General features: G+C 39.3%; 1 protein-coding gene and 1 long non-coding RNA gene across 9 annotated transcripts in view; one reads left to right on the top strand and one right to left on the bottom strand.

Moving 5' to 3' along the window:
* The window catches only part of MSRB3 (methionine sulfoxide reductase B3), a 188,225-nt gene extending 171,870 nt beyond the window's left edge, over positions 1-16,355 (top strand). For all 8 annotated transcript variants that reach the window (NM_001193460.2, NM_001031679.3, NM_198080.4 and 5 more), the window contains 2 exons: positions 3,176-3,273; positions 12,603-16,355. In NM_001193460.2, coding sequence (NP_001180389.1) covers positions 3,176-3,273; positions 12,603-12,770 — 266 coding nt within the window. In that variant the 3' untranslated portion in view covers positions 12,771-16,355. The remainder of the gene's footprint in view (positions 1-3,175; positions 3,274-12,602) is intronic.
* The window catches only part of MSRB3-AS1 (MSRB3 antisense RNA 1), a 175,556-nt gene continuing 174,878 nt past the window's right edge, over positions 16,265-16,942 (bottom strand). Inside the window, exon 4 of the long non-coding RNA NR_120431.1 lies at positions 16,265-16,582. This is a non-coding gene — a long non-coding RNA (MSRB3 antisense RNA 1). The remainder of the gene's footprint in view (positions 16,583-16,942) is intronic.

A 16,942-nucleotide genomic window follows, 5' to 3' on the forward strand; every position in this document is an offset into this window, starting at 1 on the left:
AGGTTTTCACATGACTTTTCTTTTAAAAAGTGCATGGAATGCATCCAAAACAAATAATGTTTTGTTAGAAGACCAAAAGGAAAATCCTAGAGAAAGGAGGATGGATGATCTTTCTTTAATGTCAAAACTGACATAAACACACTCCCCTTCCCCCACCCTTTTACTCAAGATAATTTTCTCAACAAGACGCAGATTGCTTTAGTCTCTGCCTATTACCCTTTGAAGCACTTTCCTTATTATTAGGAGTTGGGGCAAGGTTTCCTTTGAGGATTTTTACAGCAGTGAAGAGTTCCTTCTTTAAATACTTTCACATGATGAGGGAATTCCGCTTTCAAAGTGCTGTCATCACTGTGGCTTCTCTGCCATAAGGCAGTTTATTACTGGGGGAAGGTCCTTCTTAGTTTGATTGTCATTAAGTACTTACCTTTCTGATGTACTCTTTGTATAGAATGTCACTTTTTCTGAGAAGTCTAGCAAAGCAACTCAGCATTCTCCTTTGTTAACCTTATTGGCCAAAGTTAGCCATGATTCTCTTTTGAAATGCGTTCCACCACAGTGAGTTACAGTCTCCAGCGTGGTTTTTCGTGTCCATCTCCACTAATCAGGATTTGGGTTGACATATTGAATATTCCATTTTGAAAACTGCCATCTCTTCTACAGGGCAAAGAGACATTGTGAGTTTTGGGGAGTTTTGAAATATCTTTATTTATTTTTATTTTTATTTTTGACTGTCTCTTCTAATGTTTAAATAATGCCATGGTAAACAACAAACTATTCAAGCATCAACAGTTTCCCAGAAACACTGAAATCTTTTGAGACCTGCACTCTGTTTCAACCTCCCTCATCCTGCTCTATTCTTCAATATAGTTTTCTGGAAAATCCTGTGCATATCTAATTCAGGTAGAAAAAAATTGAGGAAGAAAGTGGAACATAAGAAGAGAGTCCTAAAGTCAGAATATTCATATCCTAGTTTTGGCTTTGCTACTTACTGCCTGTGTAACCTTGGCAAGTAACTTATCCTTCTGTTCCCTCCCACCCCCAAAACCCTGTAAAATGAGTGAACTCTATGAACTTCATGTTTCTCCTCTCCTAAATACACAAGAAGTAAACCTCTCCCCCACATAAAGAGGCGTAATCACAGTGATTGAGCCACGTTGGACAGTGCAGTGAGAAACTAGCATTGATATTTCCTAAATTAGTCTGTAAGGAGTATGATTTTATTCTCTCTCTTTCTTGTGGAACTCTCTGATGTGCTGTAATTGTTTATCTCATTTGCTTATTTAAGGCTAACTGGAAATCAGTTTAAGAAACATTTGAGTTGTGCCTTTGTACTGGACACTGTGTTAGGCAATGAGAATACTCAGGTCAATGAATTTAGACTCTGCCTTCAAGGTGTTCACTAACTAGTAAGGGAGGAAAGCATGAAAATAAATTACAAATCCAGGGTGATGCCTAGAACAAGATAAATAAATATAAGATGCAATGTAGCATAAAGGAAAAATATATACATGTGTATATCTATTTCTCCATACCTATTTTGAACTCTAGAAATAGGACTATGTGGTGCTGGGGTAAGGTAGCTTTATGGTAAATTTAATACAACAATGAAACTCCTAAACCTGTTTACTACTAAATCAAGTGTGTCCCTCCCACAATATCAGTTGCCTTAAATTGCAATTAAATGAGTTATGCCCTTGAAGGTTAAAAAGGAAAATACAGAATATTTTCTTTCTTTTCATAGATAAATGACTTTATTTTTCAATGTCCTCAAATATCACCATTAAACCTGTTTTCACTAGCAATTGGCACTTCTATTATTAACAAAGAAGAACCCCTAAATGTGTCAAGTAACCATTGTAAACCAAATATTATAGCCTAGAATATATTCAAATTCTCTTCAGAATTTAGAAAATGGGAAGAAATTCATTTTCTTAAGAATGCTAGTATGTCTCAGCATAATTAATTTTTGTGAAAGGTTATAGTCTGGAAGTTTAAGGTTTTCCTGGTGCTTTGTAGCAATTTTGAGCTCAAATCAAGGAATTAGAAGGTGTTAACACTCTTGGTGTTAAATCTAGCACTGACTATCAATACTATACTCTTGCATCGTGGAGGATGAGGGAGCTTTGGGGATTTGGCCTAATCTGTTTTGTTTGAAACTAAAAATCATGTTGTTGAAGTTTGCATTCTGTTTTCTTTCAATAGGTGTATTAACACAAAGCACCAGGTTCTTAACGGGCTTCTTCCTTTCTGCAGAAGTAAATGTGACTTGTGAAAAAGAAAAAAAAATTGCACCAGCACTTCAGCAACATCGCCCCTCTTTCATCATTTTGGGGATTCAGGCTTCAGCTCAGTAACTCCAGACATATTTTGGGGAAACATAAAAACATGCCCATAAGTACTGAACATAAAACCTGACTGTACACTCAAAACATTTGTACAATCCTATGATCCATTTACCATCAAGTTTCTTAAAGTGTGCATATATTTTTAAAATCACTAGAATAAATAAAACTTTGAACTAGATGCTCTTTGAGATAAGGTGCTGCCCAGAGATGTCTGAGGACTGATGCTCTATGAGTCTCTTATGAAGTGAACAAGCTTCTTGCCCATAAAAATAGATAGATGCTATGATTTCCAGATAACCCTTTTTCCAGGAAATTAGATGAGGATGGTGACAACAGGATAGTCGTTTTGTTAAACAAAATTTTAACTATCCAAACTAGGTACTGAAAAAGCTTGCTTTCTAAGGAGGCATGGAATAGTTGAAAAGTTAACAGCCAGACCAATTGATTGTGTTTTGGAAAACATCGTAATGGAAGATTCATAGTGCTTCAGGGCCATGCTGAGTGACTCTGAAGACAAGAGAAAGAGTGGTGAGAGAGAGCCTTCTAAGTTCAAGGATACTCTAGAAAACTATTGGATGGTCTAAGAATGTCTCATGAAGCACCAAACCCTAATGCAACTGTAATCTGAATATGAGGAAAGGGTTAAAAAATAACTGTACTCTTGCAAAATATATTTTCCTTCAGCTTTTGACCTTTCTTTTTTCAGGTTGAAAAGTTAAACATACACTAAGGATTTTCATTATTTGCTTAGTATTTCTTTAAAATGCATTCTAACCCAAGGCTGTGTATCTCTCCTCTCTGCTTTGATTCTTGTGCCTGCTGTGTCCCAGGTTGGCCTTCATTCCACGATGTGATCAATTCTGAGGCAATCACATTCACAGATGACTTTTCCTATGGGATGCACAGGGTGGAAACAAGCTGCTCTCAGGTGAGTTCATCCTTTCTGAAAACCCAATACATTGCTTTCAGGACTCCTGGTTGTGCTAAATATAGCAACTAAGGCCAAGCGACTGGTCACAAGAAGGACAGACAAGCATGACGAAGTTTATATGAAGTCCGATGGATGCCTATGTTCAGGTGTTTAGCAAGTCTAGTGGAATGTTAAGGTCGGCATGATAGCTCAAGCCTGTAATCCCATACTTTGAGAGGGCCAAGTGGGGAGGATCACTTGAGGCCAGAAGTTCAAGACGAGTCCGGGCAACCTAGTGAGACCTCGTCTCTACAGAAAATATTTTAAAACTTAGCAGGGCATGGTAGCATATGCCTGTAGTTCTAGCTACTCAGGGGGGCTGAAGCAGGAGAATCACTGGAGCCCAGGAGGTCGAGGCTGCAGTGAGCTGTGATCATGCCACTGTAGTCTAGCCTGGGAGACAGAGCAAGACCCTGTCTCATAAATTAAATAAATAAATAAATAAATAAATAAATAAATAAATAAAATGTCAGTTATTGGCTTCACCACTATTAAACAAAATCATTGGTAGGAAAAATATCATCTTCAATTGGCTCAGTAAATTGAAGAGTGGGCTGTTCTTGGGGCATATGAAGATTTCATTATGTGGCTTTGAATAACCTGATATTTTGATAATCTCCCTCTCCTTGCAGTTCTGTGTACCCACTGTTCAGTCAGAATGCCTCTACTGGCAGTGATCCAAACACAATCAAGGAAGACCTCAGAAATGGCTTTTCTTAGGTGGGTGTGAGGAAGGTGGTTGAAGAGAGGCTGTAGGAAGTGAAAGTTCAGTGGTAGGTTGGCTACATGAGATAAGGTAATTCCTTTTCTGCTTCTCCTGATATACAGACATCCTCATTTCCAATAATTTCCTAATTAGTTCTGTCCATCTGCTTTAACCAAATTAATGCTGGCTCTAAGGAAGCAAATGAGCATGTGTTGAGGAGGAGGCAAAAATAGTTAATCTGACACCCACAATCGAGAGACTTGAACTTGTGGGTATTTTGTGCTTAAACACAGAGACATAGAATCTCCATCTACATGGAATAAGAGCAGCTGCATATTCTATGGAAGGCAATCTTGTTCTTTCAACCTGCTTTAAATAAGTGAAATGTAAAGTCTGCAATATTGTGGCATTGAAAGTTATTGACACCACAGGGTATTTTGTTGGGGAATCTGTTGGACATATCAGAGGTACAGGAGCATGATCAGGCAGCTGTAATAGCAAAGTGATTGCCATATGGGCCTCCCTCAGCATTCTTTACCTGCCCTTTATCCATTTTTCTTTAACCCCCTCCACCAGGCACAAAATGTTTAGGGAGTAGGTGGCATATTTACTACCAAGTAGGGAGGGAGGTTAGTTTGAACCTAACCTTCTGATGAATTTTTGTTTTTATTAAAAAAAAAAAAAAAAAGACTGGCAAGTCTCCTGTCCTTCAAGTGTGAGGACTACTCTCTCTCTTGAAAATTAGACTTCATATTTTATCTGAATCACATTTTCAGCTCACTCTTGTTTCTCAGAGTGGAGTCTCTGATGGTGATAGTGGAACTTTCTGGTGCTGGGTTTCACCCACAGAGGGTCTAATGTAATTGGACAGGTTTAGTGTGGGGAGCAGCATTTTTAAAAGCTCCTCTGGTTAGTGCTCACCATAACCTTCTGAGGTAGGTCCTTTTTTCTCTCTGTTATTTTACAGTTGAGGAAACTGAGGCACAAAGAGAGCAATTAAACTTGGGTCAGCTTATGTGGATTTAAGTGGCAGAGCTGAGACTTGAATTGGGGTACTCTCCAGAGCTCTTTATGGTGCCCAGATAGATAGACAGGTTGAAAAGAGTCATTAAAATTTAAAAATCTCATGATTTTCCAGCAGTTGGCTTAATGCGATATAGTTTGGGGTTTTTTTTGTTTTTGAAATGGGATCTTACTCTGTTGCCAAGGCTGGAGTGTGGTGGCATGATCTTGGCTCACGGCAACCTCCACCCGCCGAGCTCAAGCAATCCTCTCACCTCAACCTCCCAAGTAGCTGGGACCATAGGTACACACCACCACATCCAGATAATTTTTTGTATTTTTGGTAGAGATAGGGTTTCACCATGTTGCCCCACTGGTCTTGAACTCCCGAGCTCAAGTGATCCACCTGCCTCAGCCTCCTAAAGTGCTGGGATTACAGGCATGAGCCACCGTGCCCAGCCTGCAATTTAGTTTTAAATTCAATTAAATTTGATTGATGATTTTATAACTGTCACAAAAAGGTAAACTATAAGTAGGATGGCTTACATTAATTTGTAACTTAGGTACACAGTATTTAGTAAACCTCTTTTAAGACTAATCGTTGTTTCTTTTATTTTCTTTTTCAAGCTACAAATGCTGTTACGTGATCGTTTTAACTCGTTTTCACTCAGAACCCATTTTCAAACATTGAATCTTATGAAAACTAAATTTAAAAGGCACAGAAAAATGAAGCATAAGATATTAACTTTACTTATGGCCCTACTTTCTAACCTCTTTGTGACAAATTCTTATAATTCACTGTTGGAATAAGCTTCTTTCTTTCTCTGTGCCAGTCACATAGATAACATCAGTAGTAGTCTAGGAAAGATCATTATGAAGATGTCCTACAGTGACCAAAGAGAAATGAAACCCACAAACAATGCCAAAATTAGGCAACATTCCTAAAAGAAGTCAGGCTAAACCAAGCATAGCTGTTGGCCCCTCAGTTAAAGCCCAAGGTGACTGTTCCTGTTCTTTCCTAACAGTTGTGTGATGAACCAACACTGACCTGCTCCCTTTTGGCTTCTTTTTCCACAGCCTTCACTTTTCATATTTAGAAAGTGTTTGACTCTTTCTTAAATAGAACTCTTAAATTTAAAGAAAAGAGGGAGAGGAATTTGTTCCGCTAAGGCATGTATGAAAATACACGCTTTGGAGTAAAGTAAGTTCTATGCAGGAGAGAATGAGGTTCCAGCACTAACGAATGGTATGTGTGCCACACCCTTGCCCTTGTGGATGGAGGAGGGGGTGTCTGCCACCTAAGCACAAAAACAGCGTACTGAATTCAAGTGGACTGGGTATCTTTCATTTCAATTTCTCTGTCTTTTATTTGTGTGTTCCATTCACGTTTATTTTCCTTTTGTTTTATAATTTTCTTTCTTTTTTTAAAATTTTCCTTTTTCTCAGGCATCTTTTTTTACCTTGACTTGATAAAATAAAAGATTTAGTAGTTCCCATGCTAGAGCAGTCACTTGTATTTTACTTCCTAGTTTCTCATTTTTAGCACTATTTTTTCATTATCTGTTTATCTTCTTTTACCTTACAGTTTTTCAGTTCATGTAGTCTCTTCTTCTGCTCAGAACTTCTCCCGTTTATTTTATTTTATTTTATTATTTTTTATTATGCTTTAAGTTCTGGGAAACATGTGCAGAACGTGCAGGTTTGTTACATAGGTATACACGTGCCATGGTGGTTTGCTGCACCCATCAACCCATCATCTGCATTAGGTATTTCTCCTAATGCTATCCCTCCCCTAGCCCCCAATCACCTGACAGGTCCTGGTGTGTGATGTTCCCCTCCCTGTGTCCATGTGTTCTCATTGTTCCACTCCCACTTATGAGTGAGAACATGTGGTGTTTGGTTTTCTGTTCCTGTGTTAGTTTGCTGAGAATGATGGTTTCCAGCTTCATCCATGTCCCTGCAAAGGACATGAACTCATCCTTTTTTATGGCTGCATAGTATTCCATGGTGTAATTGACAAATGGAATCTAATTAAACTAAAGAGCTTTTGCACAACAAAAGAAACTATCATCAGACTAAACAGGCAACCTACAGAATGAGAGAAAATTTTTGCAATCTATCCATCTGACAAATGGCTAATATCCAGAATCTACAAAGAAATTAAACAAATTTACAAGAAAAAAAAAAACAAACCCATCAAAAAGTGGGTGAAGGATATGAACAGACACTTCTCAAAAGAAGACATTTATGCAGCCAGCTTCTCCCATTTTTTAAGAGTTTTATTTTATTATTATTATTATTATTTTGCTGGTGAGATAATGTGGGAAACTATTCTGGTTTGCTCTCTTTCTAAAATTCTTGTTGTATTCTTAATTTACGTGGCTTGTCTTTTCTCTGGACTGAGTTGCCTCAATATGGTTTGTGTTATAAAAAATCTATTAGATGCTTTTAGTGTGTTGTAGACATTTTCAGTCGGATGTGTTATGTGGTGTATTTCTTTCCTTTTGGTAAAGATGGAATATCTAAATACGAAGAACCTTTAACTGCCAACTTCTACAAATGAACTGAGCCTTCATGGACAAAACCTGAATCAACTCAACCTGATCAGCAGTTTGGCAATATGGCAATATTTCATTGTTCTTTTGGTTCCTACCTAATTCTCACTTCAGTGCTTAGGATCCTTTTTTAAAAAAAATTGTGGTAGGGATGACACCATGCATACAGTGAATTAGGCCTCATATTTGCATAGGAATTGTAGACTCATTGGGAGCCAATAGCCTACCACCGCTTTACAGTACATTGTAAAGAGGTTTGTCCATGTGTCCAGTGACTTCTCAGATAATGTTTTTAGTAAAGATTTACTGAGAGAGTTCAGATTGGTTCAGTCCTATCACCACTTTTTCTAGAAGTGTTGCAGTGAGGTTCTTCTAAAAGAATTGTTGTGTAGGAAACAGCACACTGCCTAATCTTTGCATTGACAGCACTGAAAACAAGCAAGGGTCGGAGAGATTCTTCACTGTCTTCATTATAATTGTTGCTTATGGGTACCCTGTTATATTCTGATTTCTGTTGCAATTTTACTTGTTCTCTTTTGTTATTCCACCTACTGAATTGAGGAATTACATTTCAGTTATCTCTTCCAAAGAGGATCTTCATCTTAAATTTACTCGCTTTGGTGGGCACATGTATTTTCCCTCCAGCTGCAGCCATCTTGTAACAATTTTCAGCTATAAAGAATTTTCCTTGATTTAATTTATATTTTCAACTAGTGATAAAATACATTGCTTCTATTCCAGTTTCACTGACTACTATGAATAATTATTCAACAGCCTCTCCCTAATCCTCCAACCCCAGCCTGTTAAGCAACGCTTTGTCAGGAGTTTAAATTCAGTGCAAAGAAGTAAGATTTCCACAGTTTAACCTGCAGTTCAGTGAAGTAAGTTCCTTCTAGAATACTTGGGGAATTCTTCCTTCTTCAGATCAAAATCCTCCAGCTGGAGCAAATGGGAGACTAATAAATCACTTAACTTTTTGTAATATTTTTTTAAGGAAACCATCAGATCTCTGAATTTACCCACGTTGGAGTCTATTTATGAGTGCTGCTATTACTGCTTGAGTCTATGGTATAGTCCCTTAAGTTTGTTTAAGATCATTATTAATTTGTTCTAAGTCAGCCAAATCAACAGAAAGGTAAATATGCACCAATAGAAAGTATTTTTCAAAAGTTAAGCAGTTTTTGGTAAAAACCCCAAACCTTATTAATCTTCTACAGATGACAACTCACATATTGCTGATGATTAAAGATACACATGTGTTACAATAGGGCTTCAGACTCACAGCCCATCTCTCTTTTTCTTGATCTTTCAGTAAAATCATAATGCTAAACTGGTGACTTCACAGTCATTTCCTTGGCAAAAGATTAATATCACAAGCACAGAGGAAAAAAAGCCCCCACTTACACACAAGTGTCTTCAATAACAGTGGGAGAAAACAGAATACTACTGGCAAAGTAAATTGCTTTTCTTCTTAAAACTTTTCCCATCCTGCCCCATGTGTCCAAGTGTAAAAGCCCTGCTTTGAAAATGCTTCATTTCATAGATCAAACACTTAAGAGAAAATGACAATAATAAAGCCCAAACATCCTAGGAATAGCTAGGAGAAAAACCTCTAAGACAGTGGGAAATACATCAGTGCAGAAAAATGTAACTGTGTTGAATACACTATTTGTGTTTCTTATGTATACAATTGAGAACTGCAGTCAGATTTTAAGGAATTATGTTAAACTTGATGCTCAAACACTTATTTTAGGGGGTCCTTTCCCTTGGTTCTCTGCAGGTTCTTTAGCTGCCAGCTTTTCTGAGTGGGAGGCTTAGGTGATAAAGGATTGTTGTGAGAATTCAAATTTTTTCTTTTGAACAATCATCTGATGCTCTTCAGAATGAAGACCAGTATATTCAGGTACATTTACCTGTGAAATAAAGAAACACATAACCATTAAAAACAACATTCAAAATGCACACTAAAGATTCTATCCTGAAATAAATCATTAACAGCAGGTCTCAGAGATTTCTTCATCGAGCAACCAGTTTGTTTCAGTTACAACCAGGTGTACTGAGAAACCCCAACACATTGCCAGTTGGCTGGGGCCTGGGAGGCAGAGCTTGCAGGCAGCTAAAGAAACAATGCTCCTCTGGCAACTTCCATTTATCCTCCCAGCTTTCCCAAGGCTAGAAGCTGCAAAGAATGGGCTCCGTGCGCGTACTCTCAGGGAGGAGCCTTCAAGGCTTGTGCGCTTTTCAAAGAAACCGGGTAACAGTCCTTTCTGGGAGACTAGGTTTACCTGGGAGGAGGCTCGAATGGCACTGCGTGGTTAGGCTTCCCTCAGACAAATGGCTTTGCCGGCAGTGGGGCGGGGATGTATGTGGTGCCACAGATACAGATGAACACCTTTCTATGTTTTGAGATGATGCTCTTCCCTTAGTAACCTAAGGCTGCTATGACTCTTCCAGAACACCCTGTGGCAAGTATAATGAAGCCATAACTATCATTTTCAGGGGACTCAAACCGTTTCTGAGGATTTTTCTACCCCCATCCTCAACCCATATATTTGTTAGCAAATAGTTTTCATAGTCTTTTTCTAACTATAATTTCTCTTCCTCACTTTTTTTTTTTTTTTTTGCCTTGGATTAGGGACACACCTAGAATCAGTGTTTTCCTTTCTATTTAACCAGAATACTAGTACCAGATTAGCAAATGAAACTACAGGTTGAAAACTCACCCAGTTCAACAGATTCAATTACTGTAATTTGGATTTTTAAAATATGATTTGGGAAATTAAGACCATATAACTCATTCTTAAACACCTTCAAATATATCCTCACTATGCTTTATTTTTGGTGTAGAATAAATAGAAATATTTTCTAAAGATGCTCAAGAGATTATTAGCAAAGGCAATATCATTTATTTTTCCCAGATAGCTGCATTCTCTCATTAAACACACACACACACACCCCTAAGGCTTTTAGGTATATGAAAACTTCATCTCTTAAATGCCAAGTGATCCAAGTGCTGGAGCTGCATCTGAGATCAGTAATTGTGCACACACACTGGTCACTGAGAGCACTGGTTCCTGTTGGACAGCACCTTGACTATTTTGGTAGGCAGAAATGGGTGTTTCCTGTGTCCGTTGGGCAAGCATATGTATTTTTACTGGTTCATCTTAGCTGTGGATGCCTAAAAATTTGGCATCAATTGTTTATAGAAAGGAAAAGCAGTCTGACCTGTCAGCCTTGATATTACCTAAACCTGCATCGAATGTGGTAAAATAATACAAGATTTGTTTTTTAGGCCTGTTTCATATTTTCTAGGCAATAGATCAAATCAGTTCAGGGTTCATTTTTAGCTCTTTAATAAACTGACAGAGTTTGCTGGCAGTGAAATGAGAATGCACTTTTAACATGGAAGTGCCATACAGTCAAAGTTGCTATTTCTGCTATTTATTAATAACTAGGGAATACTTGAGAATTGAGCTTAGCATGTTCAACAGGGAAACTAAGATTCTAGTGCTTTTCATTGTAATGAGCACTTTCTCTCATTTTTCTCTCTTCATCTCCATTTGGTGTCTCATCCCCAGTCCCTTGTGAATTCATACTCTTTCCTTGAAACTTATAAGTGTTTTATACACCAAATCAGCACAGTGAGAATTAACAAATCATTGATATGCTTTTTCTCTCATACTCTTACCTAAATCTTGACTCTTCCCTCTTCTCGAAATGCCCTCCCCTAGAGATACACTTCTTCCAGGTCCTTATTCCAAAGTCACCCCAGGTAGGCCTCTTCTGACCACCCTATCTAACATTTCATATCACCTTCCTTTTTTGCTCCCTTAGCATTGCTTTCTACCTTCCATGCTTTATAGTTCACTTGTTTTCTTGTGTACTGTCTGTCTCTCCCACTAGAATGTAAGCTCTATGAGGCCAGGGATTGTTGCCTGTACTCCAGAGTCTAAAACAGTGCCTGGCATATAGCAGGCACTCCATTAATAAACGAATGAATGGAAGTCATTTACCCCAGGCTTTGGTTTCTTTGATCCATGATAAATGATGGATTTTCACAGCCTGCTTGAATATGGTGCACCAGTGTCTCCATCTCGTTCGCCCCATCCCTGATGGAAAAGGGCAGTAGATATCTAAGTGTGACATGTACCTTCATCTCCTGGAGCTGTACCCAGCATCAACGCAGTTAGTGTAGGGGTGTTCACTGAGCCAGCCTTTTTGGAGAAACTTTCTCTGGGCTTTATTTCTCTCAAACACCAACATGATGTTCCTTCTGCCTCTGTCTAGACCTTAGGTCTCTTCTTCCCCAGCTTTTTGAATAGTCAGTAAAATTGATTTTAGCTAAACAGCTTATTGCTTTTCTTTATATTAGAGTTCATTTGGATAAAGAAGCCAGCATGACACTACTTGTTGGAAGCCAGGAAAAAAACAATTGTGTGTGCTAGAGATGTTTCCTTTTGCTACATTTGCAGCCCTGGTGACTGTGACATAAATCTATTGAGCCTTGCCATTGCTTCGCTGGGTTCCAAGAACATCCAATACTTGTCTGATGTTAAGTTTTACTGCCCATGAAAGCAAACATCACCTCTGTCATGGCCAGTTAAACAGTATCTTTTCAGTGGACTTCTGCATATCTGAAACCCACCCATCCAAAGCCAAAAGTAATGCCGGGGGAAAGATTTTATGCTGCCATGTTTCTTACAAGGGAAGATCAAGGGTCAACTTGATTCATAAAATTACTGCAGTCATTTTTCAGCTGGCTGAGAGACTTCACAGATCAAAAAATACGTGGCTCCTAAATGATTTCTGATATGCACAATTCTAGTGTTTTTTGTTCTCAGCATGTGGCGCAAAGCCTGCCAGAAACCATCTTTGCGGCTATTGACAGGCGGATTAGAAATCATCCACGATGGTTTCCTTCATTTCTCTACAGGCTGGTCATCCATTTAAACTGCTTAATGTGAATTCCTCTCAAAGCCTGCTTTGTACATGCTTTTCCCTGACGTTTTGTTCTTCTCTTTCAGTGTGGTGCTCACCTTGGGCACATTTTTGATGATGGGCCTCGTCCAACTGGGAAAAGATACTGCATAAATTCGGCTGCCTTGTCTTTTACACCTGCGGATAGCAGTGGCACCGCCGAGGGAGGCAGTGGGGTCGCCAGCCCGGCCCAGGCAGACAAAGCGGAGCTCTAGAGTAATGGAGAGTGATGGAAACAAAGTGTACTTAATGCACAGCTTATTAAAAAAATCAAAATTGTTATCTTAATAGATATATTTTTTCAAAAACTATAAGGGCAGTTTTGTGCTATTGATATTTTTTCTTCTTTTGCTTAAACAGAAGCCCTGGCCATCCATGTATTTTGCAATTGACTAGATCAAGAACTGTTTATAGCTTTAGCAAATGGAGACAGCTTTGTGAAACTTCTTCACAAGCCACTTATACCCTTTGGCATTCTTTTCTTTGAGCACATGGCTTCTTTTGCAGTTTTTCCCCCTTTGATTCAGAAGCAGAGGGTTCATGGTCTTCAAACATGAAAATAGAGATCTCCTCTGCAGTGTAGAGACCAGAGCTGGGCAGTGCAGGGCATGGAGACCTGCAAGACACATGGCCTTGAGGCCTTTGCACAGACCCACCTAAGATAAGGTTGGAGTGATGTTTTAATGAGACTGTTCAGCTTTGTGGAAAGTTTGAGCTAAGGTCATTTTTTTTTTTCTCACTGAAAGGGTGTGAAGGTCTAAAGTCTTTCCTTATGTTAAATTGTTGCCAGATCCAAAGGGGCATACTGAGTGTTGTGGCAGAGAAGTAAACATTACCACACTGTTAGGCCTTTATTTTATTTTATTTTCCATCGAAAGCATTGGAGGCCCAGTGCAATGGCTCACGCCTGTGATCCCAGCACTTTGGGAGGCCAAGGCGGGTGGATCACGAGGTCAGGAGATGGAGACCATCCTGGCTAACATGGTGAAACCCCGTCTCTACTAAAAATACGAAAAATTAGCCAGGCGTGGTGGTGGGCACCTGTAGTCCCAGCTACTCAGGAGGCTGAGGCAGGAGAATGGCGTGAACCCGGAAGGCGGAGCTTGCAGTTAGCCGAGATCATGCCACTGCACTCCAGCCTACATGACAATGTGACACTCCATCTCAAAAAATAATAATAATAACAATATAAGAACTAGCTGGGCATGGTGGCGCATGCATGTAGTCCCAGCTACTCCTGAGGCTCAGTCAGGAGAATCGCTTGAACTTGGGAGGCGGAGGTTGCAGTGAGCTGAGCTCATACCACTGCACTCCAGCCTGAACAGAGTGAGATCCTGTCAAAAAAGAAAAGAAAAAGAAAGCAGCATTCAAATGTAAGACAACTGTAAAATATTGAGCCCCACTTGGTCTAAAATTCAAAAAGAAGAACGCCTGTCCATCGCCTTTTTATAAGTCCTTCTCTCCACACCTAAAAGCAGCTGCAGCTGGAAGGGCACAAATTCCACTGTGTAAAATAAAATATTAGGGGCAACACACTTCATCAAGGCAGCAGGAATGAGAGAGAGCAGAGAAGATCAAGGATGAAGTCTTGGGTACTGAAAAATTCAGTGCTGGGCAGAAAAACTGACAGGGCAGTACAAGTAACAAACAGAATCCAAGTGGGGTGGCCCTTGTGCACAGAGCTCCAGGTGACCTCTGGAGAGACATGGGCATTCACATGGAAAGCTAAAACGGAAGCTCAAGTTTCATACTCAACATAATCTTCTGTGTGACAAAGGACAAGCCATGTAGCCTCTCTGTGCCTATTTCTTCATGCATAAACTGGGACTCATAATATTTGTAAAATGTATTGATACTCTCAGGGCAAATTCACTATATTGCTATACAGTTGAGATCAGTGTTGTAAAATTAAACTGATCTGGTTCTAATTGCCTCAAAGGCCAAAGCCCAGGCATTTGAAATGGAAAGAAGCAGAGAGGAGGCTGACTTAGCTGATTGGTATGGAAACAGTTGGGCCAAGAGCCAGAATTTCCCTTTGTAGCAACACGGCTAGTTTTACTTTGAGAAGCTCTGCTCAGCTGCTTTATAACATTAAGTCTGGCGGAATGGATGTCACTGTGCACAATAAAGTTTTCACAAGTATAAACAATGGTGATGTAAGTCAACATTGCTGTAGCCAGGTGTGAAGGTTGTATGGTGTGTGACGAATGTACATCATGTTTGTAGGTTTGGATGCTAATCTTGAATTGTAGTTTAAAAAATACGTATTTTTGTAACTCTTTGAAAGTTTATGAAGACTGACAGCTTTCCTTGTAAGCACTAAGAGAAAAAAAAGAAAGAGGGACATTTGACAATTTTAAAGAAACAACAAGAAATTAGAATGAAAATCTGTGACAAACAGCGTCAGTGTGGCCATGTCCACATTCCTACATGTCTCTCTCTACAAGCACCTCTCTAAGAAGCCTGACATCCCGGTGGACTCTTTATAGTCATGTACACTTGATTCCAGATGAGCTCTGGTCTTATCTGGATGCTCAGATAAGAGGTTTCTATCTGAGCATCCAGATGTTCCCTCAGGTTCCAAGACATTTCACCCCAGGCCCTGGGTTCACTCTGGAATTCGTAGGCTTCACGTCTCTCTAGAAATGACGTGTAAAATTTAAGACCAGACCTCAGCCATCAGCGTCCAGACCATCCTAGAAGTCTTTCCCAATCTCACAGAGAAAGCCCTAGTATTTCCCAGTGACCCCAGGATTCCACGTTGGGGTGGCCAAAGAAATAGGTCTCTCAGGGCTTTGCCACAGCCTCCAGCCCATCCTTCAGAGGCACACACAGCACCTCTCGGCTGCTCCAGCTCTGTAGGATAGCCTCCCCTGGGGTCCGTGGGACGCGGGCCACAGTGTTGAGGTAGACAAGGAGGATCAGTGAGAGGCCTCTTCCCTCTCCACAGAGACTGGATTGTCATTGTTCCTTCATTTATATCGTAGGGCTTAACATTTCACTCAAAAAAAAGCCCCTCTTTTTCTAATCCTTAGTCTTTGTTTCAAGGAAAGCCAGTTTTTCTTCTACCACATTTTCCAGGATCGACTTTAAGAAAAATGCAACATCTATTGAAAAAAAGTGGGGTGTATGCATGTGGTTTAATTCCAGATTGCTTTTGGGTTTAAGTGGTATCAAATTTCAGTATATTTCTGTCTTATGTGAAAGAAATATATTACTAAAACGTCAGTGAGCAATAATGTCAGCTGTCAAGCACTAGATTTATTTTTGCAGGATATGGAGTGCAATGAACTGAGTCAATATGGCAAGGTGTATGTGATCTGTGGGAGTTATGCCATTTAACATAGGAAGTGCATGGGACTTTCCCTCTCTGCACTCCAGCTCTTACTGTACCATTAGAAGATGCAGAATTCTGTTGGTGTGCAAAAAGTATAGCCTTACATTCAAGCAGAATGGATCTGAAGAAAGCAGCAATATCTGTTACTAGAGAACATTCCCATGTGTTTAAACTCTTCACTTCTTAGATGCATTTAAATTCTTAATGCAAATGACGTAGCAATTTGAAAACTTCTCCGTATTACTTGTGTTTAAAATGTCTTGCTTTAAATACAAAACAAATGGTAAAGGGGATTATCTTTTGTTTAGATGGTTAAATATTATTTTTGCCTTAGATAGCTTTGTAATAATTTTTCTCCAGACAGTTCAACACTTTTGAAAAATGACATGAATTTTCATTAAAAACCCTTTTCCTATGTTTATTGTATACAAGAATTATGCAATAAAATTTCTTTATAAAAATATTTTCTTCTTTGATTCCTGAAGACTCCTTTTATTTTCAGCACAGATACATGGACTGGAGTTTGTAGCAGACTGTTCTGTTTGCCTCCTTAACCAGCTGACAAGTCTGTAGTCTATATGGAGAGCCTTTCATCTGATGCAGTCTTTGGAAGTTGGGTCTCTTACAGTAGGGTCAAGTCCAACTCTCCACACCACAGGCCCTGGGAGAGGCCTCCAGGGATCTGAAAGACTGGAGGAAAGGGAAACATTTGCAGAATTACTCAACCTTCACCTCACCTCAGCAAAATCTTCAGCAGCTTGTGTATGTTTCTTGCTTAAAATATGGATTTGGGAGTTCCACCATAAAACTCTGTGGGTAAAAATGCAGGAATGATACCACGCTGATGCCTTGGCTTCTGTTAAAAAATTTGACAGGAAACTTACACTATCATTGAGGGTTGTTCTCTGTGGAAGTATATTAGGAGCTTTCCACTGCTTACAGATGATTTCACTGATAAAAGCCATCTCTACAGATAAGTTTTGGTATTGTATTATTTGTTGTTGAAATGTTGAGTTGTTTTGTATTGTTGATTTATTTACTTTAGGAGGC

Source organism: Homo sapiens, chromosome 12 (assembly GCF_000001405.40).
Source record: "Homo sapiens chromosome 12, GRCh38.p14 Primary Assembly".
Classification (NCBI taxonomy): Eukaryota; Metazoa; Chordata; class Mammalia; order Primates; family Hominidae; genus Homo; species Homo sapiens.